Below are 22,662 nucleotides of genomic sequence, written 5' to 3' on the forward strand. Positions count from 1 at the left end.
TTATAGCTATGCTAAATAAGACAAACCAGTTTATTTTTTTAAAAAATACAATTTTTAAAAACCCCAAACATAAATAGTAGATTTGAACAGTTTTCTTCTTCCTTTGTAACTTCACTGTTTTATAATTTTTTTGCTTAATGAGTGCCTATTATTTTAAAAATTTTAAATATTCAATGCTTTTTAAAAAATTCCAAAAGTAAATCATGTTCATTTTAGAAACTTAAAAAAATCCAGCTAAGAAAAAAACCCAAAACTACATGTACTCCCTGTTTCTCAGAAATAACCACTGCTAAATCCTCTTATATATTCTCCTTCTTGTATATTCCTATATCTAAGCAAATCTAAAACGTTATACAAATTCTGGCACTCAGAGTGGCCCAGTCCAGATGAGCCGTGCCATTGGAGCGTTCCCATTTCCTGAGGCTCACCCTGCCTGGGTGTTACATCTCGTATAAGGTTTACTTGCATTTTCTACCCTGCAGTGGCAGCTCTCATTCCTACTTCCTGGATTCATGTCTGGAAGGTGCTTCTGGGTCCAGGAGAGAAGAAATGTTCTTTTTTTTTTACTTTTTTTTTTTTTTTGAGATAGAGTCTCGCTCTATTGTCCAGGCTGGAGTGCAGTGGCATGATCTTGGCTCACTGCAACCTCCACCTCCCAGGTTCAAGCAATTCTCCTTCCTCAGCCTCCCGAGTAGCTGGGACTACAGGTGCATGCCACCATGTCTGGCTAATTTTTTTATTTTTAGTAGAGATGGGTTTTCACCATGTTGGCCAGGCTGCTCTTGAACTCCTGGCATCAAGTGGTCCCACTGCCTGGCCTCCCAAAGAGCTGGGATTACAGGTGTGAGCTGCTGCACCTGGCCAAGGAGAGAAGAAATATTTTCTAAATGAGAAGTTCAGTTGCTTTCTTCTCATTTTACTCTTAAAGCACAAAAAGCAAACTTTGGAACTCCCAATACAATTTAATCACAGAGGCATTAGTCATGGATATTTAATCATTCCTAATGGCAAAATTGTAAAACTCTCTGGCCACTTTCATGAACACTCTTTCTTAGAGTTTCTGAAAAGGTGGTGCCCCACTGTCCCCATGACTGCAGGAAATAAAAAGTGAAAGTAGGATAAGGCTCTTCTGTGGACCTGGCCCACATGGTCCACAGCTGGGTAACCGGTGATACGAATGGCAAGTTTTCTCATTTGTGCCCACAGACATAGTTTCACCAAGATTGGAAACTGGTAGGGAGACTTTTATAGAAACTCAGCCCACTCATAAAGCCTGATCCTACCGGGAACCAAGCTTTGGGGCTTACCCAACCAAACTGTGAAACAAGTGTACTCATTCAACATCCACTTGAATGGTGACTGTATAGAGTAGATGTGCCAGGTGTCAGGGGACAATGGCTACCAAGACAGCAAGTTCCCTTCTGGTGGTGGAAATGCCCCCTTCTCTCAAAATAAGAGTAAATACATGGAGAGTCAGTTCTGGGATGAGCAGCAGGAAGGGTTTTCCAGGAAGAGGCTATGACACATGCAAAGATGGAGAAGAGCTGGGTACATCCAAGGGACTGAAACAAGATCAGGGCATCTTCAGAGCAGTGACGGGAAGTGGCAGAGGATGAGGTGGAATTCGCAGGGGATTTAAGGCCATGGTGAACAGTGGGGATGTCATTCTCAGGGCAGTAGAGAGCTGCAGAAGGAGTTTAAACAGAGCAGAGGCATGAGGTTGGACTTGGGCAACCCTGGCCTCTCTTTCACACCCTTCAAGGTACCCACCTCACCCCTTCCCCCCTATGTTCTTAGCTGCCCTCAAATCCTAGATTTTTTTTTTTTTTTTGAGATGGACTCTCACTCTGTTGCCCGGGCTGCAGTGCAGTGGTGGGATCTCGGCTCACTGTAACCTCTTCCTCTCAGATTCAAGTGATTCTCCTTCCTCAGCCTCCCAAGTAGCTGGGACTACAGGCACATGCCACCATGACTAGCTAATTTTTATTTTATTTTTATATTTTTGGTAGAGATGGGGTTTCACCATGTTGGCCAGGCTGGTCTTGAACACCTGACCTCAAGTGATCTGCCTGCCTCACTCTCCCAAAGTGCTGGGATTACAGGCATGAGCCACTGCACCCGGCCCTCACATCCTAGATTTCTAAAATGACTTTCAATCTTAAGAGGCAAACACCAGAAGACATCTTCAGGATTTTGCACTGTAATGGCAGTCAAAGCCTCAACAACAAGGTTGATTATCTGACTACAGAATTACAGGTGTTGACCAGGAGGCAGGAGGAATTGGTAGAACGTTCTTTAATTATGGGCTGTTCTCCCAGTTCATCACATACCTCACAAAGGGTTCAGATTTAGTCTCAAAGGAAGCTGAGAAAGCACCTTTTGCCTGTTTTCCTGATGGTGGGACAACAGAACCATCGCCATATAGAGGGCAGGATTAGAACCCTAGGGTCTTAACAACAGAAAGGATCCTTGAGTTCCTTTGAGCCACAGCCCACCCATCACCCGGGCTCTTCTGAAGGGCAGGCTAAAATGGTTTTCTTTACTTCTATCAGGTTTGCATAAGTGGCATCTCATAATGTTTTTCATCTAAGAAGGGCTAATGAGTGGAGAAAGAGCCAGTGGAGTCTAGGTTATCCACAAATTAGACACCTAATCTTGATGTCATAAGAGGTGGTGTTTCATTTTCAGGAGAAATCAACGTAAACCTTGAATAACTGAGCTGACATCTATTGCATTATTTCCCACTTAGTCTTAGCATGCATGGCTTTAGGGTATTTTTCTAATATATCTTTGTCTCCTCTGAATCTTTGAAATCTTATCAGGCAGCTGTTGCAATACATCTTTTGAATTTTGGAAATTTTAATGTAATAAAGCAATTACCTGTTGCCTGAAGACAGTGTCAAATATTATCAGGTGGATCTCAGAAGCCCCAAGAAATTTCTTCTCTCTTCTACCTTTCTTCCTCCCCACCAAATCACACTCCCCCACCCCCACCAACACATACATCTTTATTCTCCCTTCAAAACCCCAGCCTTGGCTTGGCACATGGACTCCTTTTCAACCGTTCACTCTGGCTAACCCATTTCCTGCCCCAGCCTGTACAAGGCTAGCACAGTGATTGTTCCATTTGCTCTGCAAAAAGTCAAATGTCACCCTCTGATGTTTACTTGCTTTGACGTCTCTTGGCCATGGTATGTGGGGAAACTTACCTGCTCCATGACACTCCTCCTTACCCTTGATTGTGGGCACACAGGCTCTTCTAGTTGCAATTGCTCATTTCTACCCGCACATCCTTTCAGTGGTAGGACTTCTTATCATCTTACTAACAAAAATAGCAACAACACTTACCAGGGACTTACTGTGAGTCAGATGCTCTTCTAAGCACATTTGGATCTCTTAGCTCATTTAACCCTCGCAATAACCATCTGAGGTCGATGCAATCATAGACTCTATTTACAAACAAGGAAACCAAGACACTGAGAGGCTAAAGTCACCTGTCCAAGGTCACCAAGGTACTAAGTGGCAAAATCAGGGCTCTTAACCACCGGGGGTCTTCTCTGCTTATTTTCTTCTTTTCCATTAATCTCCTAGACCAAATTCAACCAGCTCTCACTACTCTGTGCCAAGCACCTTGCCAGGCACTTGGGATTCAAGGATGAAGAAGTTGAAGCCTTGCCTGCAGTCTAATTGAGATAAGCAGGCACGTAGTAGACTAGAATGTGCTGGGTGGGGAAGGGGAGGTCTGGCCAGGGTGCTGTAGAAAGACTTCGAAGGCAAGTTGGAGCCTGTGATACCTTATCTGAAACATTTACATGAGTGTATGTGATAGTGCTCTGTAAACCGTATAAGCTTCTCTTCCACTGCAAGATGTTATTTTGTTTGCTTCCTTCTGTCTCTTTCTTCAACTTTTGAAACCTCAATTATCTTTCCCTTTTACTCCAGGAGAAGAGTATTTGAACTTAGCTGTGCGTTAAAATCACCCGTGTGGCCCCGGCTGGCTGCTTTTCCTCCTGCCTATGCAGTTGACCAGTTTCTCAGTCCCTTACACTCAGAGGTGGTGTGTGCCTGCGGCTGGCCGACAGAGTGAGGATGGAAGTAATGCTGCTCACCCCCAAGCCTGGCCCATAACACCTCTCTTGAATCCTTCTTCCCTTCCTCCCCTCTCCCAGATGGATTTGAGCATCCAGTGGAAGACTCTGGGGGGATTTCAGTTTGAGAATCACTGACCCCATATATTTGTTTTAACCACTGCTCACTACCTTTGCTACATTCAGCAGGTTCAGCCGGCTTGATGTTTCTTGAGTGGCTTACAAATGCAGACTGATATTTTCATCTTTAACTTTTCTCAGAAGAAATACTCTCTCTGCGATTGTAGGCTATTGGCTGTACATGTGAGCAGATAAGAAAGATGGGTGCCTAAGGGTCCTAACACACACTGGAGGCACTGGACAGAAAGTATTTTCCTTTCCCTTAGGACTGAAATCACGTCATACTCTATGTGGGCAGAGACACTGAGAGTGACTCGAATACTTTCTTTGGACCTGTGAAGTTTGCTTTCAATAATAATAGTTATTATTTTGACTGAATTCAATAAACATAAATCAATACATACATATATGAATACAATAATATTGAATCATCTAATATGAGCCAACTACTATGCTAAACACAGTAGCTCATGTAATCCTTACAGCAGCTGTAGGAGGCAGGCGTTATTGTGATTATCCTGTTATACGAATGGAAGGAAGGCACAGAGATGTCAAGTTATTGCTCAGGATCACACGATGAGGAGCAGGAGAGCCAGATCTGAAAGCCCGTCTCTGACCCCAGGCCTACAGGACTACCCTCTGTGTATGTAACCTTCACATAGCTGCCTGGGCCCCCAGACCCTTCACCCTGCCACTTTTCTTGCCATACCCTCTCTCTCTCTGTGGCCTTTTTCAATCCAGATCACGGCATGCGGGAAGTCCACCCTCCTTGCCTGCTGCTCACCACGCTTTCTGTAATTAAAATTTAGTCCATTTAAGCAAAGCCCGGAACCTGACGTTTCTGCCTAGTGTTCTCCGTCACCATGGCAACCAAATTCTTGGCTGAAACTGGATCCCTGGAGGTAAGAAAATGCAAGAAAAAAGCGAAGTGCAGAGAAGACTCTTAGAACTGGGGAGTGGTTTCCCCTGGCGAGTGGCATCTACCATTGCCTAGATCCTCACCTGCTGCACCCTCCCTGACTGAAGGCCATTTTAGCTATTAAGTACCATCAAGGGCCTAACCAAGATGCTTAAGACCCCCTCCCCTAAAAAATAGTAAGGAACTCCAAAGTAGAAAAAGGACTGCAAAACTGAAATTAAAGGCTGGATTAAATGCCTACAAAAATTACATGCTGATCTCGTGAATAAATTGGGAATTCATAAAACTTCATTATGCTTAAAAAAATAAGGCTTGCTTTTCTTTCTTTGAAAAGATTTTCTGGCTTGCATACTGATGGTTGAGAAAGCACAGCCAATCACAGATTGAATGTATTCCTGGTAGGCGAATTATTTTAAAAGTAGAATTATAAAAGCATCATTTTTTTTACAGTCAAAATGCTAGCAAATAAAACTTGCTCACATTGGCCAAATACTTAATACATAAGATGTGTGGGGTTTTTTTGTTTGTTGGTTGGTTGGTTGGGTTTTTTTTGAGACAGGGTCTCACTCTGTTTCACAGGCTGGAGTGCAGTGGCACAATCATAGCTCACTGCAGCCTCTAACTCCTGGGCTCAGATGATCCTCTTGCCTCAGCCTCTCACCTCAGCCTCCTGAGTAACTGAAACTACAAGCTCATACCACTATGCCCAACTAGTGGTTTTTTTTAAAAAGAATATTTTTAAGAGGTGGGGTCTGGCTATATTGCCCAGGCCGGTCTCAAATTCCTGGCCTCAAGCAATCCTCCAGCCTCAACCCAAAGTGCTGGGATTACAAGGTATGAACCACTGTGTCCAGCACCGAATGCTTTTTAATATGTTTGCTGATGTGGAGTGGAGCCTCCAAACGAATTCTTGAAATCACTTGGAATCATACAAATCCACTTCACAAACCCTGAGAGCTTAGTGTAGACAAGAAACATAGCTGGGGTGTGAGAGCGGAAGGGTGGCCCTGGGTGAGGTGGGAGGTTCAAGAGGGGAAGTAGACTCCTTAAATGAAATGGAAGTGTTTACCCAGCCAGCCTATCTCAGGGAGAGTGACAGTTTGAATGGGTCCAATAGATTCCAGCTGCCCTGGCTGGAAACAAGCCAAGAAAAGCCTGCTTCCTATTTTCCCTTCATTGTAGGGGACTGGGAAGCCTTTATTTTTATGGGGTTGGGGGAAATGACAGGGGCTGCCATCATCCTATGTGATTTTCTTCCCTTCAGGGAGGTGGGGAATGCGCCTTTTTTATCATTCAGCCCAAAGAACTCACTTGACTCACAGGCATTGCAAATCCACGTCTATTTTCTTATCAAAGTCCTGGACCAGAGGGAGAACCAAGCAGTTGTCTCCCCAACATCAGGGATGGCTCAGGGAGAGAGCTCTGTGGCTCTATGATAAAACTCGAATGCAGAAGTTAATCAGGGAGCCACCTCTCTCCTTTGTCTCGGCTGCCTGAACCTCCTGGTAATGCAGGCGGTGTGCACTGAGCTCCTGGGGTCCCAGGGCCCAGCCTCGATGTAACACTCGGAGCGCCAGGACATGGTTTTCTCACCTGAAAGGAGGATAATTGTTCCTGACTCTCCTAGTTTTTCTAGAGGAAAGAAAAGTAATGGCGATTCCTGTCACTTTTTCCCATCAGAGAAATTGTAGGCTAGAATAGGATAATGGGTATGAAATCGCCTCAAGAGGTTTAAAGCTTTGCTACTCAAAAGTGTGGCCCTCAGGCCAGCAGCCTCATTTGAGAGCTTCTTCAAAAGACATATTAGACTCTCAGGCCTGCCGCAGACCTACTGAATCAGAGCCTGCATTCAAACAAGATCCCAGGGGATTTGTATGCAAATTAAGCACTGAGAAGCACTGATTTTTAAAACCCTGTAAAGCATATCTTGTAAGGTATTAGTAGGCAATGATTTATTGAATGTCTGTCTTCTTCTCTGTTAGCTCTATGAGGTCAGGCCCCGAACTGGCTTGTTACCCACTGTACTCCACTTTTTGTTTCAGTGTCTGGCATACAGTAGGCACTCAATATTTGCTGAATTAATTAATAAGCCTTATAACCTGTGTGACTGACCCCAGAGGGTGGTAAGAATAGACAGGATTCTAAACTTATGCCCTGGTGAGAGGTGCCAAGCCACCTGCATTTGACATCTGGTCCAATGCCCTGTGTAGTGGCACAGTGGTTCTCAAATTTGGCTGTACACCTGGAGGCCTTGTTAAAAAGCAGATGGCTGGGCCCCACCCTTAGAGTTTTGGATTCAATAGGTCTGGGATTGGCGGGAGCAGGAACATTTCTAATAAGTTCCGGAGGATGCTGCTGCTGCTGTCCAGGGCCCCCACCTGGAGAACATAGCCTGCTTGGTGCATTGATTATACCTGAATAAGTGTCTTCATATTTTAAATACAGAACATGAGGATCCACAGTGACAAAAATATCAAACTGGCAGAAAAAAGCATTTTGCAGACCAACGAGTATGGCTGCTATTTCAGGTCCTGGCATGCTTTTCAGGTGGCTGGGGCAGCCTGAGATGGGGCAAGGACAGTGGTACCAAGGGGCCAGAGGATGGGATGGTGCCGGTGGCCACAAGGTTATGATTTGGGGCCCCAGGGTGTGGCTCCAGGGTCACACCTGGCTGTATGTCAGGGCCAAGTGTAAGTCCTATAGGCTACAGGTTTCCTTCCCTTGCCCAGGCTCCTGAATCGCCAGGGGTGGGACTCAGGTGACTGCAGTAAGAAGTCAGCCAGGCACTCTCTGGTTATTTACTACCGAACAGCAACAGCAATCACCACCCATCTCCCATGTGCCAGGGCTTGAGCTAAGTACTTTACAGATATTATCTCATCAGATTGTCACAGTAGCCCATGAGGTAAGTATATTAGTTCTCTATTTGCTGCTATAACAATTACAATGCAGTAGCTTAAAATAACACAAATATGTTACTACAGTTCTGAATGTAGAAGCCTGACACAGGTCTCACTGGGCTAAAATTAGGGTGTCAGCAGGGCTGAAGGCTCTCTAGGGGAGAATCCATTTTTGTGCCCTTTCCAGCTTCTAGAGGCGGCCCTGTTCCCTGGTTCACGGTGTCCTCCTCCATCTTCCAAGCCAGCAACATCGCATCTCTGCCTGCCTCCTGCTTCCACTCTTAAGGACTCTTTGGTTACATTGGGCCCACCTGGATTATTCAGATTAATCTTTCTATTTTCAGATCAGATTAACATCCTTAATTTCATCTGCAATTTTAATTTCCCTTCGCCATGGTACCTAACATATTTACAAGTTCCAGGGATTAGAATGTGAACATCTTTAGGGGGCCATTATTCTGCTTACCACAGTGATAGCTCCTGTGCATCACCACTTTGGAGATGAGAACATTTAGGTTTAGAGAAATTAGGCATTTTCCTAAAGTCACACAACTAGAAGTGTCTGTCTTAGCCTGGGTCTTACCCCAAGGCAGAATCTAACACAAAAATGTGAAGTCAAGTCCTCTATTGGGGAGTGTGATCCAGTGAGCGGGAGAAATGGGGAGCAAAGCAGGGAAAGAGAGAGAGTTACAAAGATGCTGCATCCAACTGCTCATTGCCTGGGGGCAGACAATGGGGTGAGAAAGGGGAAACCTTTAGGCATGTGTTTCCTCCAGGTTCCAGGTTGTACCTCCTTCCTCCTCCCCTGCCTCCCCTGTTCTTGTTGCCACACTGTCTTCCCACTCTCTCCTGTCTTCAGGCCTGGCTGCCCTTCTCTGGTCTCTGAGAGAGGAAAACAGTCTCTGCAGGCTGCATGCATTCCAGAATCTTCCTGCGACACTGAGGGGAGTCTGCTTCCGATTGGTGTATGTTGACTTGGTGTACCAGTGAAAAGGAAGATAGAAACAAAAATGTACAGAAAACAACCGGTTAATTTTTTTTTTTTTGAGAGGGAGTCTTGCTTTGTCACCTGGGCTGGAGTGCAGTGGTGCAATCTTGGCTTACTGCAACCTCAGCCTCCTGGGTCCAAGCAATTCTCCTGCCTCAGCCTCCCTAGTAGCTGGGATTACAGGCGTGCACCACCAGGCCTGGCTAATTTTTGTATTTTTAGTAGAGATGAGGTTTCACTATGTTGGCCAGGCTGATCTCAAACTCCTGACCTCAAGTGATCTGCCCGCCTCGGCCTCCCAAAGTGCTGGGATTATAGGCGTGAGCCACCACATCCAGCCACCTGCTTAATATTAATACTTGCCATATAATCCTGCCCCATGTCTACGTATTTGTTTATTTCCCATTTGACACCCTGTACCAGGTTGAACAGTGTCCCTCCCTCCCCCTCAAACTCATGTTCACCTGGAAGCTCAGAATGGGACCTTTTTAGGAAATGAAGTCTTTGCAGATGTAATAGTTAAGATGAGATCATACTGAATTAGGGTGGGCCCTAAATCCAATATGACTGGTGTACTCAGAAGAAGAGAAAGATCTGGACAGGCGGCAGTGGCTCACGCCTATAATCCCAGCACTTTGGGAGGCTGAGGCAGGTGGATCACTTGAGGCCAGGAGTTTGAAATCAGCCTGGCCAACATGGTGAAACCCCGTCTCTACTAAAAAATTCAACAATTAGCCAGGCGAGGTGGCGGGCACCTATAATCCCAGCTACGTGGGAGGCTGAGGCAGGAGAATCGCTTGACCCAGGAGGCAGAGGTTGCAGTGAGCCAAGATCACTCCACTGTACTCCAACCTGGGTGACAGAGAGAGACTCTGTCTCAAAAAAAAAAAAAAAAAGAAGAAGAAGAAGAAGGAGAAGAAAAGAAAGATGTGGACACAGAAACCTAGACACACAGGGCAGAAGCCATGTGAAGACAGAGGCAAAGACTGGGATGAGGCAGCAATAAGCCAAGGAAGGCCGAGGTTGACAGCAGCAGCAAGGCCAGGAAGGACCCCCCACCCAGAGCCTTCATGAGGAGCATGACCCTGCTGACACCTAACTTCAGACTTCTGGCCTCCAACACAGTGAGAAAAAGAATTTCTGGTGTTCGAAGCCACCCAGTTTGTGGTAGTTAGTTATGGCTGCCACATAATGAACATATGCCCAGTAAGACCTTAAGGACCTGGAGGGCAGGACCCACGTCTGTTGTGTTCACTGTTAAATCTCCAGTGCCTGGAGGATAAATGGTCCTCAGCACGCCTTTGCTGAAGGAAGGTGTCTAATCCTGAGCAGGGTGACTGAAGCAAGAGGGAAGAGAGCTGACTGAGTTGATCTGCTTAGTCCCATGGAGAAAAGCAGCAGAGAAGAGGAAGAAACTGAACTTGGCTCTTCCTTCCCCATTTCACTCTCAGATGCTGAAATGACTATTTTTGGTGAATGCAAATCATAGCTGTGGCCAGTGTCTTCAGTCCAAGGCCACAACTGCACGCGCTGAGCCAGGGTTATAGTCACAAGAGTTTATTTTTAAAGTAACCACGCCTGACCTTCAGGCTCAGAGGCTGCAGACTCAGACTTTCCTGGTCAGGGCCACCCCAGGGTGGCCAGTCATACTCAGCAGAGAAAAGCCACGTGTTCCAAAATGGAAAAGGCGCTCAGGCTTCTTCCTCCACCACAGCTAAGGAATACCTTCCCCTCCCATCTGTCGCCTACATGCTGACCGCTTTCTGGCGCATTTAACACCCACAAATCACAAGCTGTTGCTCTTGGCTTGGAGCTCCAGTTTCTTGAACTAAATTATAAGTATGAGCATGCTGTGTAGCTTGCAGGGTGTGGCTGCTGGAAGAACACTCTCCCACGAAGGCAGAGAGCTCCCTGACCCCTTGATCATCCCCAGAAGGGACAAGAAAGCATTCTTCAGAACTGCTGGATTTTTTTTTTTTTTTTTTTTGGTCTTAGTTGAGCCATAAGTAAGCAGCAGCAGACTGTCCATAGGTACAACATAGGTTGTCAAAGACCAGGATTCTCTCATGTCTCAGAAGTTCTCCAGGTCCCAGCTGAAGAACACCTTCAGATAGACGCAGTGGCTTATGCCTGTAATCCCAGCACTTTGGGAGGCTGAGGCGGGAGGATTCCTTGGGCCCAGGAGTTCGAGACGAGCCTAGGCAACATAACAAAACCCCATCTTTACAAAAAATACAAACATTGACTGGGTGTTGTGTCATATGCCTATAGTTCCACCTACTTGGGAGGCTGAGGTGGGAGGGTCTCCTGAGCATTGGGAGGTCAAGGCTGCAGTAAGCCATGATCGTGCCACTGCACTCCAGCCTGGGCAATGGAGCAAGACCCTGTGCCAAATACCCAACCAACCAACCAACCAAATAAAGAATACCTTCCTCAAAGGTTCAATCAGGATTTGAAAAAATAGGGAAAAAATGGTGTTAACCTGGTAGGACTCAGGGTAACTTTTTTTTTCATTTTCATAAATTGTATTTTCCTTATCTAATCTTTACACCAATAAAGAAGGACTCTGGCACCTTCTAAACAAACAAATGTACACATTACCCATTTATACCCGAGCCGGGCTTCCTTGGGGGCTGTGCACACTCACTCCACACCCACCATGAGAACTACTGCACCTGTGGCCTTATTGAAACAATGAACTGAAAACTCCATGCAGCTGATTCAGAAAACATCAAGGAAAAATGTAGGTTTTTACTGAGGATTTCTAAGGGAGGTGAGGAGGGGCATATAGTACATCATACACACAAGGCTTTTTTTTTTTTTTTTTTTTTTTGTAAAGAAAGACAGAGTTTTGAGATCCTGCCCAGGCTGGTCTCGAACTCCTTGGCTCAAGCAATCCTCCCACCTCAGCCTTCCAAAGTGTTGAGATTACAATTGTGAGCCACCACGCCCAGATCTTCTTTAAACTTGTCTTTAAACATGTCTTTTTACCCTAAAGTCTCACCCCCTGACAATGTCTGCTCCATCACTCCCCCTTGTTCTCAGCTTCCCTGTCCTCCTCTTCTCTCTTCATGAACTTGTAGCCACACAGGCTGTCCTTCTAACTCCCTCTTCTTTCCAGCTTCTTCTGCTGTATAAGGTTCTTTTAGCGGGTTATCTCCTTGGGCTTCTCTTGCAGAGAGTAACTCTGCCTTCTCTTAGTTTCTCTGATTCTCCTCTCTACCCATCACCCCACACGACCCAACAGCTGAGTTTGCTGAATGAGAAGATGCTCTTCCTTCCTAGAAAGCATGTGGTTCCCCATCATAAGCAGAAACCTTTGGTGGATAGAAACAACCACTCCTTGTGTTGACATATAGGACACTAGAGTGGTCCGGGCTGGTCCCAGTGATGATAGAGAGCTGGGGGTGGGGAGAGAATGGGAGATGTCCAGGACTTCAGTTCCAATCTCATAAGATCAAGGATTTATGAGAACCGATGTGAGCTCACCCCTGTGGAGATGCATCAGACACAGCCATTGCCCTCAAGGAGCTTATAATATGATTGGGGAAACAGAAATGAGGCAATTCTAGAGCAAGCGGGACATGCCATGTGTTAAGTCCCCAAAGAGTTCATAAGAGGGCAGGTAGGCTCAGTCTGGAGAAGTCTCAGGAACCTACAAGGGCAGGTTGAGAAGGATGGACCAAATCTAACCAAGTGGAGGTCGAGAGAGCAGGCATCCCATTCAGGAGAATCTGTGTGAACAAAAACTTGGAGGTAAAAGATGGGAAACAGAAAGGAAGGCCACCTGGTGAGTGATGGATTTCCCCAAGCACATGCCTAAACCAGTCCCATTACTTTAAAGTGGGACTTGAACTACATCCCTCCTTCAAATTCTCTCCTTCCTAACTTTAGAAAGGCTATGGCCTAGTGGACAGCCAGGCAGCCCACCCTGCATTTACTGAGGATTGAGGCTCCAAAGACTGTCATTTAGATTGGTTGATTGAATCTGGGCATGCATTTTCCCACAGAAACAAAGTTGTATGTGGTAATTAGCAAAGGCGGAGTGAGACTGAAGTACGTGTGTGTTGAGGGTGGAGGTGAGGCTGAGGGTGGTGGTGTGTTGATTAGTTTAACATAGTTGTGGTAAGTAGGCCTGAAGCAAGTAAGAAACTTCATGAAAAACTGATATTTTTCAAATGGGTTTTCTTTTCTTTATTTCTTTTTCTTGTCCTGTCTTTTTTTTTTTTTTTTTTTTTTTTGAGACTGAGTTTTGCTCTTGTCACCCAGGCTGGAGTGCAATGGCACGATCTCGGCTCACTGCAACCTCCGCCTCCTGGGTTCAAGCGATTCTCCTGTGTCAGCCTCCTGAGTAGCTGGAAGTACAGGTGCATGCCACCACACCCAGCTAATTTTCTGTATTTTTAGTAGAGACGGGGTTTCACCATGTTGACCAGGCTGGTCTTGAACTCCCGACCTCAGGTGATCTGCCCGCCTTGGTCTCCCAAAGTGCTGGGATTACAGGCATGAACCACCGCTCCCGGCCTCAAATGGGTTATTTTAAAAAGTCATCACATTGCTACAGTATTACATGAGAAATTGTTGTAATGGATCTGGGGGGCTACACTGAGTTAGGCTCCTAGACTATCCTAGATGTGCTAGTGGTGACCCCGAGCTGTGCATTCCCAGGTGTCCAGAACCAAGGGAGTGAGGCCTACTGGGCTTCAGTCACATGGCGGTAGAGGGGAGACCTAAGGCTTCACTAGCTGGGGTCTGGGGTGAGTCTAACATCTCCAGAGCACAGAACTTCCTTGACATCTGGACAACCACCAAGGCCAGGTGGCTAATCCGTGGGATTGGGCACAATAGTTAGAATCCAGGTGGGAGGAAATAAACGAAGGCAGGCAGGTGTCTGGGGCACAAATCAAAAAAGTTTTGTTTTGCCCAGTAAGATCTCAGGCACTGTCTCGTGGGTTTGGAAGCAGCAATTAATCCTCTAAGGAAAGGTCTGGAAGAGCTTGGTATGGTGTTGGGCTCCACAAAGCTGGCTGAGATCCAGTAACAGACTCAAAGCTATGTAGGCAAGTTGTTACAGAAACCTAGAACTCTGAGCTGAGCCAGCATGGCAGGGGTCTAAATAGAATAGTATGATTTGGATGGTTCATATGTACCCAAGAACTAACTTCCTTCCTTCCTTCCTTCCTCTCTTCCTCCCTTCCTTCCCTCTTTCCTTCTCTCCCTCCCTACTCCTTCCTTCCTTCTTTCCTTCGTCCCTTCCTTCTCTCTCTCTCACTCATTTATTCACACCATGTGCCAAGCCAATTCCTAGGTGATAAGGATATCATGGTTAATACAGTCCCTACACTCATGGAAGTTATGGTCTGAAGGGGAAACAGACATGTAACAATGGTTAAATTTATAATGGTACAACCAAAATTGTAGACGGCCCTTCAAAGATGGACAGCATCTAACAACAGTAAGGGGGAATCTAATTAGGTCTGGTGGGAAGAGGGCTCTGCAAGGCTTCCCTGAGGAATGACATCTGAGCTGAGACCTAAAGGATGAGAATTTAGCCATACAAAAGGGAAGAAGGGGCCAGGCATGGTGGCTCATGCCTGTAATACCCAGGACTTTGGGAGGCTGAGGTGGGCGGGTCACCTGAGGTCAGGAGTTGGAGACCAGCCTGGCCAACATGGTGAAACCCCGTCTCTACTAACAATACAAAAAGTAGCCAGGCATGGTGGTGGGCACCTGTGTTAGAAATACCAAAATTGCACCGATTATCTATTTCTAACAATTTTGGTATTTCTAACAACCTGTAATCCCAGCTACCTGGGAGGCTGAGGCAAGAGAATCACTTGAACCCAGGAGGCAGAGGTTGCAGTGAGCCGAGATTGCACCACTGCACTCCAGCCTGGGTGACAGAGCGAGACTCCATCTCAAAAAAATTAAAAAAAATAAAAGGAAGAAGGGTATGAGGGCAGGAAGGAAGATGGCATGTTCTGGGAACTTGCTTGAGAGAGTGAGCAAAGGGATCGGGTATGAGACAGCAGGAGCAGATCACTGGGTACAAGTCTGGGGCTGCTCATGGTGGGCTGGGAGTACCATTGCCTCCTAGTGGAGCTGAGTCTTTGAGCATTAATAATGTTTTTGGATGAGAATAATAACTACTTCTTATTAAGGCAATTTCTATATGCTACATGCTTTATATGTCTTATGTTATTCAATCCTCACAATTCCCCAAGGGATTAGTATGGTTGTCTTCCCATTTTACAGATGAGAAAAACAAGGGTTAGAGAAATTAATGAACTTGTCTGGCGCCATGTAGCCAATAAGTGAAGGAATTCAGACACGATTCATGGCCTGCCTGATTGCAAGGCCATGGTTCTGAAAACTTTACTGCCTTTCAGCATCAGTGCCTCTTGCTGAGAGGGGCTGGGGAGGCTGTCTCCGATAGCTCCTCTGAGCCCTGAGAAGGGTGGGGAGGAGGACGTGAGACAAGGGATAGGGAGCTAGTGGCTCTGGCAGTGGCAGAGAGTTGTTCGGGAGAACTTCGGTGGTGGTGGAGGCGGTGAGGATGCTCAGAGCTCATTTGTATGTGTGAATCATTTGTAAGTTGAGGATTAGTCAGAGGTTGGCTGCATTGTTACGGAAATAGTGGGCTGGGTGTGTGCTCAACCTGAAGCTGTGAGGGCTGAATTTTTTCTCTCCTGGAGACATTGTGAACCACAGAAGGCAAGTCAGCTTTTGGGGGCGAGTTTTAAGTGGAGAAATATCTCCTTCTCTAATGCTTGCAGTTGGCTCTGAGGGTTGTGGAAGAAAGACACAATTTAGAGAACTTATAACGTCCTTGGCCAGATATGCCCAAAGCCAGGATGTCCCCCTAACAGAAGAAACATAGCACTCCTTTTGCAGGCTGTTCACGCAATCACTAAGGACCTCCTAGAGAAGATTTGAAATGTGTTGGGGGCAGGAATTTATCCCAAAGATAACTCAGGGACTTCTGGGAAAGTTTTAATGCCTGTAATGCAGAGAACTCCCAAGCCCCTTGAGTATAGCAGGGTTGGTAAAAGCCTAAGATTGACTTTGGTAAGATAGACATCAAAATAGCAAAAACAAGAACCATTGTAGAATTTAAGAGAAGCAAAATAATGTCTTTTCTTGGGGCTAACACTCCTACCTTAACTATAGCCCTGGTGGTGTGTTCCCTGTAATTTTCAGGGTGTCTGACTCTGTGTATGAGAGGCTTCCCATTTCAGTTTGACTCTGATATTAGTGGTCCAGCCATAATTGCTGTTCAAATACTAAGAGGCAGGACAGGGATGGAATGTTTGACGTGGGAGTGACATCCATTTATTCATTTCTGTGAATGTATTAGTGCCAGGTATTTCCTCAGGCCTGTTATCTCTAATGGTCTTTGGACTAGTTCAACCCTCATTGTTAAGATTAGGAAGGAAGTCATGTTGCCCAAGTTGATTCTGTGGCTGGCAGCAGTTGGGTCTCTTTCCTTCTTTGGGGAGATCATCAGTGCAGCAGGGGCTGGGTATAGAATATTGTGAAGGAGGCCTCTGAGCATATAGGAGGCTCTGCACCAGCTTCTGTAGTTGGAGCCTCAGCTTGAGGAGGCAGTGTGGCCACCGGGGAGGAGCTCGGCTTTCCTCACACAAATCCATTTCCTAGGTGTGATCTCAGACAAGGCCCTTTGCTTCGCTTCTCTTTGAGCCTAGCTTCCCTTGACTGCACAGTAGAAGCAATTAAACCTTCCTCACTGGATTGTGGTGAGGATGACATGAAATAATAAGCAGCAAAGTTAAGGGCAAGTTTTAATGACCCTATATGTAATTTTTGGTACATTACAAATTTTCCAAAACATATAGGTATCATAAATATCATCTGATTTTTTTAATTTAAAAAAAAGAAAGGAGGGAAGGTGGGGGCGGGGGAAGAATGAAATACTACCTATTGGGTACAATGTATACTATTGGGATGATGGGTACACTCAAAGCCCATACTTTACCACTGCACAGTATGTTTATGTGGCACAACTGCAATTGTACCCACTAAATCAATAAAAATTTTTTTTTTAAGTTAAGGAAAAAAGAAAGGAGATTAGTGCATCTAAAGCTTTGATTTCTGGCACACAGCAAGCCAACACGAACCTTAACTATTAATGAGCAGGACACCCCCCGGATGCAGGCATGTCTAAGCAAGTCTGGGGAACTGGAGAAGCTAGACTTCCATGGCTGTATTTGCACGATGGTCTGAGGCTCCTCCTAGGAGAGAATTTGTGCTAAAGGAAGATAATTAAAGTTCCCAAGTCTGATGGAGGGCAGTGGATAAAAGCTGAAGGGTACAGCTATTAATACCTCTGAGCACAGCCCTGTATTTGTCCCCCTAATTCCTCACTTTACCCGCTCTTCGCATGGACTCCTGCCTGAGCTCTAGGGGAGGAGTAACAAAGCTGAAAAGCCATTTCTTAAAAGCTCTTCTATACTTTAAGGACTTTAAGCAGTCCAGCTTGTGACCTTTTAACACACTATACATGTCGGGGGACAGAAGGTGTATCTCTTCTCTGATCCCAGGAGGTGTCTGTTGGAGTCTGGAGTATGGGAACCAGAAACTCAGATGTCTCGGTGCAGTAATCTGCAAGGCAGCTTTTATTGTAGGGAGAAAATACAGCAGCCACATGGTACCCAAGGGAATTTCCAAAGCACACCTGGGACATCTCTCTAGGGTTGTCAGATCTATTTAGAAAAATCTTTTTGGAGAAGTCAGAGTGTAACTTCCTGGTCACCTGAGGCAGAGAAAGCCTGGGGCCTGGGCCAGGGAGGGGTGGGGTCTTCTGAGGGGGCCTGAGCCCGAGAGGGGTGGATTCTCCTGAGGGCCTGCTCTGTTGGCTGGTGGGTAAACAAGTGAACCTGTCTTATTTTCCGCTATTGGGTTTTCCTTAATGACCTTAACAATGGCTGAGTTAACAAGATATCTTTTAAAATGCTGACAAGGGCCAGCCTATAATCCCAGCACTTTGGGAGTTAGGAAGATGGTTTGAGGCCAGGAGTTGGAGACCAGCCTGGCAACTTAGTATGAAAAATAAAAAAGATTAGCCAGTCATAGTGGTGGAGGCCTGGCTGAAGCAGGAGGATTGTTTGAGCCCAGGAGTTTGAGGCTGCAGTGAGCATTGATTGAGACAATGCACTTTAGCCTGACTCCGATATCATAGGAAAGGAAAGAAGGGGGGGCGGGGAGGGAAAAAGAAAGGAAAGAAAAGACAGTGGAGTGAGTTGACAAGGAAGAAAGTGCCCAAGGAAAGGAAAGGAAAGGAAAGGAAAAAGAAAAGAAAGGAAAGAAAAGAGAGTGGAATGAGTTGACAAGGAAGAAAGTGCCCCAGGAAAAGTAAGAGATCCCCTTCCTTTATCCCATGTATACTTTTGTTTTTTTAAATTGTGGTAAAATATTGATAACATAAGACTTGCCATTTTAACCATTATTTTCAATGTGCAGTTCATTGGCATTAATTACATTGACAATGTTGTACAACCATCACTGTTCTATTTCCAAAACTTTTTCATCACTCCAAACAGAATCTCTGTAACCATCAAAGAATAACTCCCCATTCTCCCTTCCTCTAGCTCCTGGTGACCTTGAATCTACTTTCTGCTGCTGAGAATTTACCTATTTTGGATGCTTCATGTAAGTGGAATCATATAATGTTTGTTCTTTTGTGTTTTATTTCATTAGCACAATGTATTCAAGGTCATCCATGTTGTAGCATGTATTAGGACTTCACTCTTTTATACAGCCGAATAATATTCCATTGTATGTATACAGCACATTTTGTTTATGGATATCCATTATGTTCATCCATTTATGGACACTGGTGTTGTTTCTATTTTTTGGCTAATGTGAATAATGCTGCAATGAATATTGGCATACACGTATCTGTTTTTTGAGTCCTTCCTTTCAGTTCTTTTTGGCATATACTGAGGAATGAAGTTGTTGAATCATATGGTAATTCTATATGTAACTTTTTGAGGAACGACTAAACTGTTTTTCACACTGGCTGCACCATTTTACATTCCCACTAGCAATGTATGAAGGTTCCAACTTCTCCATATTCTTGCCAACACTTGTTATTTTCTATTTTTTAAAAATTCTAACCATCCTTGTAGATATGAAGTGGTATCTTGTTGGGGTTTTGATTTGTATTTCCTTAATGACTACTGATATTGAGCATCTTTTCATGTGTTTATTGGCCATTTATGTATCTTCTTTGGAAAAATGTCTATTTAATCTTTTTTCCATTTAAAATTTTTTTTTCAGTTGTTGCATTGTAGGAGTTCTTTATTTATTCTGTATACTAATTTCTTATCAGATATATGACATGTGGATATTTTCTCCCCTCTGTAGGCTCTTCTGATTTTCTCAACAGCATCCTTTGCAGCACAGAAGTTCTTAATTTAGATGAAGCCCAATTTATCTATATTTTCTTTTGTTGCCTGTTTTTGGTGTCTCATCCACAAAACCACTGCCAAATCTAATGTCATGAAGGTTTTCCCCAGCGTTTTCTCCTAAAAGTTTTATAGTTTTAGCTTTTAAGTTTAGGTCTTTGATCCATTTTGAGTTAATTTTTGTAAATGGTATGTATAAGGTAAGAGTCTAACTTTTTTGTGTGTTGATCTTGTGCCCTGCAACTTTGCTGGCTTTGTTTATTAGCTCTGGTAGATTTCTTGTGGATTCTTTGGGATTTTCTATATATAGGATCATGGCATCTACAAATAGAGATCGTTTTACATCTTCCTTACAATTTGTATGCCTTTAATTTCTTTTCAATCTGGTAGCTAGAGCTTCCAGTACAATGTTGAATTGCAGCAGTGAAAGTAGGCATCCTTGTCTTGGTTCTGATCTCAGCGAGAGAGCTTTTAGTCTTTCACCATTAAGTCCAATGCTATCTGTGTTGTTTTTTTCATTAATACCCTTTATTATATTGAGAAAGTTCCCCTCTGTTCCTCATTTTCTAAGAGTTTTTTCTTATCATAAGAGGATATTAGATTTTCCCTCTATTATTGCCTTCTTTTGTGACTAATTGATTTTTTTGCATAGTGAAAGGTTTTGATTTCCTTTTCATTTCCTTTTGTCTATATTCTCTAAATATTTTCTTTGTGTTTACCTTGGGGATTACGTTTAACATCCTGAATTTATAATAATCTAATTTGAGTTGATACCAATTTACCTTCAACAGGGTGTAAAACCTCTGCTCCCACATGGCTCCTTCCCCTCCTTGTATGTCATTGTTGTCAGAAATGACATTTCTTTATATATAGTATTTCTAATGCCATAGATTTATAATTATTTTATGCATTTGTCTTCTAAATCATGTAGGAAATTAAAAATGCAGTTACAGACCAAAAATACAAAAATACTGGCTTTTGCACTAGCCCATGTATTTACCGTGACCAGAGATCTTTATTTCCTCATGATGGCTTCATTATGGCAACAGCCCAGTGTCCTCTTATTTCAACCTGGAGGACTCCCTTTAGCAATTTTTAAAATACAAAAATACTGGCTTTTATATTAGCCCATGAATTTACTGTGACCAGAGATCTTTATTTCCTCATGATGGCTTCATTATGGCAACAGCCTCGTGTCCTCTTATTTCAACCTGGAGGACTCCTGTTAGCAATCTTTAGGGCTGGGGAGTGAAAACAAACTCCTTCAGCTTTTATCAGCTAGAGGCGAGAGTTCAGAGTCTTCCCATGTCTTTTCTGTGCATGGATCTTGCCCTGAGAATGTGCATGGTTTTCTAGATTCCCCCATACACCCAGGCGCTTTTAAATGTCCTATTTTACAAAGAATTTGCCCCAGCCTTTCTTCCTGGGCCTTAGACAGTCTGTTGAATATCTGTACCATAAGCTGTTTCCCCAGGTTTCTGTGAATGGTGGGTTCACCTTGCTGTGTTTTTGAGCGATGGGCACCACTTTTCCAGCCTAAGTTAGGTGAAACCAATACAAGCATCCGTGTCAGTCTTTCACATAGTCCCCAAATAGGTTATTAACAGACACATGGGATAATTTGTGAGTGAGATCTGCTCTGCTTCTTCTGGAAACTGGGACCAGAGTTCCTCTCTGGAAACACAGGCTGCTACCTCTTCAGGACTGCTGTCATGCTGGGAAGGAGGTGGGCAAGGACAGGAAAAAGTGCCACAAAGCTTTCCTACCATTTTCAAGTTGCTTTTTCTCGATTCAGCATTCATATGGTTGCTGTAAACCTTTGGCTGTTTTCCAGAGTTCTGACAAAGTTGGTTCTGACAATTTCTGCTTTTGTGTGTGTGTGTGTGTGTGTGTGTGTGTGTGTGTGTCTTTGTAGGGAGATGAGAGCTTGGAGCTACCCACTCCGCCATTTGCTGACATCATTCCCCAGCTATACTTTTAACAGTGACCTTATTTTTTACCTGTATACTACTGTGGCCTGGGGAACTGGATTACACACATGAATCCACTTTGATCAAATCCTTGAACCTGGTGGATGATACTTGCATTTGGTGGAGTAAGTTAAAAAGGCCATGGGAAACAGACCAGAGTCAAACAAAAGAATCAGTCTCCACAGGTCACACTTTTACTTGTACACAATTGTAAATACTGTGTAAGTGGCATCTACATTATAATGGAAAGGTTGCTAAAGTTAGTCTTCATTTACAATTAAGAGTAAAGGGACACTTTCTAAAATGTTTGCTTAAGTGTTCAACTTTTCCTGTTGGTCCCCCAGATCTGTGCTGGCAAATGAGTTTCATCTCTGATGGTGGTGGCTGCCTAATGCAATGTGTGAAGGGTTACAAAGCCATGTTCAGGTTCAGGAGATAAGAGTTTCATAACAAATGGTTATGGCACAGGAGGGTAGAGTGCCAATGTTTATCTATTGCTGTGTAATGAATTATCCCAAAACTTAGTGGTTTAGAACAATATCTCTCACAATTTTTAGGGGTCAGGAGTATGGGAGTAGTTGGATTGGGTGAGTTTGGTTCAGGGTCTCTTATGAAGTTACAGTCAAGATGTTGGCTGGGGCTGGATGCAGTGGCTCATGCCCATAATCTCAACACTCTGGGAAGCCAAGATGGAAGGATTGCTTGAGCCCAGGAGCTTGAGACCAGCCTGGGCAATGTAGGGAGACAGCAATTTCACTACTGGGTGTCTAACCAAAGGAAAAGAAATCATTTTATCCAAAAGACACCTGCACTTGTATGCTTATTGCAGCATTATTACAATAGCATACATAGTCAAGGAATCAACCTAAATGTCTATCCATTGATGATTGGATAAAGAGAATGTAGTATATATACATCATGAAATGGTATGCAGCCATAAAAATAAAAAGAATGCAATCATGTCCTTTGCAGCAATATGGATGCAGCTGGAGGTCATTATCTTAAGTGAACAAACTCAGAAACAGAAAATCAAATACCTCATGTTCTCACTTATAAGTGAGAGCTAAACAATAGATTTATTAACGGCTAAACACATGAACGTATTTCCAAAGATATAAATAATGACACTGGGGACTTAATAAAAGGGGCAGAGTGGGAGGAACATGAGGGTTAAAAACTTACCTATTGGGTATAATGTTTACTGTTTGGATGATGGGTTCACTAGAAACCCAAACCTCACCATTACATAA

At 44.2% G+C, this 22,662-nt stretch overlaps 2 long non-coding RNA genes across 2 annotated transcripts in view, besides 8 other annotated features; one reads left to right on the plus strand and one right to left on the minus strand.

Annotated features, from left to right (window-relative positions):
- Window positions 1-3,452, minus strand: LOC124901990 (uncharacterized). Its single transcript, XR_007061027.1, has 2 exons — window positions 3,210-3,452; window positions 1-1,684 (listed from the first exon to the last, which is right to left on the minus strand). It is a non-coding gene; the product is annotated as an uncharacterized LOC124901990 (long non-coding RNA).
- Window positions 3,377-22,662, plus strand: part of LOC105375670 (uncharacterized) — a 26,841-nt gene continuing 7,555 nt past the window's right edge. The window contains exons 1-2 of the long non-coding RNA XR_928452.4: window positions 3,377-3,512; window positions 18,624-18,684. This is a non-coding gene — a long non-coding RNA (uncharacterized LOC105375670). The remainder of the gene's footprint in view (window positions 3,513-18,623; window positions 18,685-22,662) is intronic.
- Window positions 10,210-10,279: an enhancer, noted in NCBI's record as "active region_27696". NCBI's record gives its function as "activates an Ori minimal core promoter by ATAC-STARR-seq in GM12878 lymphoblastoid cells {active_cell/tissue: GM12878}" and the evidence as "EXISTENCE:reporter gene assay evidence [ECO:0000049][PMID:35858748]".
- Window positions 10,660-10,909: an enhancer, noted in NCBI's record as "active region_27697". NCBI's record gives its function as "activates an Ori minimal core promoter by ATAC-STARR-seq in GM12878 lymphoblastoid cells {active_cell/tissue: GM12878}" and the evidence as "EXISTENCE:reporter gene assay evidence [ECO:0000049][PMID:35858748]".
- Window positions 10,920-10,969: an enhancer, noted in NCBI's record as "active region_27698". NCBI's record gives its function as "activates an Ori minimal core promoter by ATAC-STARR-seq in GM12878 lymphoblastoid cells {active_cell/tissue: GM12878}" and the evidence as "EXISTENCE:reporter gene assay evidence [ECO:0000049][PMID:35858748]".
- Window positions 11,030-11,079: an enhancer, noted in NCBI's record as "active region_27699". NCBI's record gives its function as "activates an Ori minimal core promoter by ATAC-STARR-seq in GM12878 lymphoblastoid cells {active_cell/tissue: GM12878}" and the evidence as "EXISTENCE:reporter gene assay evidence [ECO:0000049][PMID:35858748]".
- Window positions 15,007-15,056: an enhancer, noted in NCBI's record as "active region_27700". NCBI's record gives its function as "activates an Ori minimal core promoter by ATAC-STARR-seq in GM12878 lymphoblastoid cells {active_cell/tissue: GM12878}" and the evidence as "EXISTENCE:reporter gene assay evidence [ECO:0000049][PMID:35858748]".
- Window positions 15,359-16,218: an enhancer, noted in NCBI's record as "NANOG-H3K27ac hESC enhancer chr8:101455271-101456130 (GRCh37/hg19 assembly coordinates)". NCBI's record gives its function as "activates a minimal SCP1, AML or CMV promoter by ChIP-STARR-seq in naive H9 embryonic stem cells {active_cell/tissue: H9 hESC(naive)}" and the evidence as "EXISTENCE:reporter gene assay evidence [ECO:0000049][PMID:30033119]".
- Window positions 15,437-15,486: an enhancer, noted in NCBI's record as "active region_27701". NCBI's record gives its function as "activates an Ori minimal core promoter by ATAC-STARR-seq in GM12878 lymphoblastoid cells {active_cell/tissue: GM12878}" and the evidence as "EXISTENCE:reporter gene assay evidence [ECO:0000049][PMID:35858748]".
- Window positions 17,214-17,273: an enhancer, noted in NCBI's record as "active region_27702". NCBI's record gives its function as "activates an Ori minimal core promoter by ATAC-STARR-seq in GM12878 lymphoblastoid cells {active_cell/tissue: GM12878}" and the evidence as "EXISTENCE:reporter gene assay evidence [ECO:0000049][PMID:35858748]".

Source organism: Homo sapiens, chromosome 8, assembly GCF_000001405.40.
Source record: "Homo sapiens chromosome 8, GRCh38.p14 Primary Assembly".
Lineage (NCBI taxonomy): Eukaryota > Metazoa > Chordata > Mammalia > Primates > Hominidae > Homo > Homo sapiens.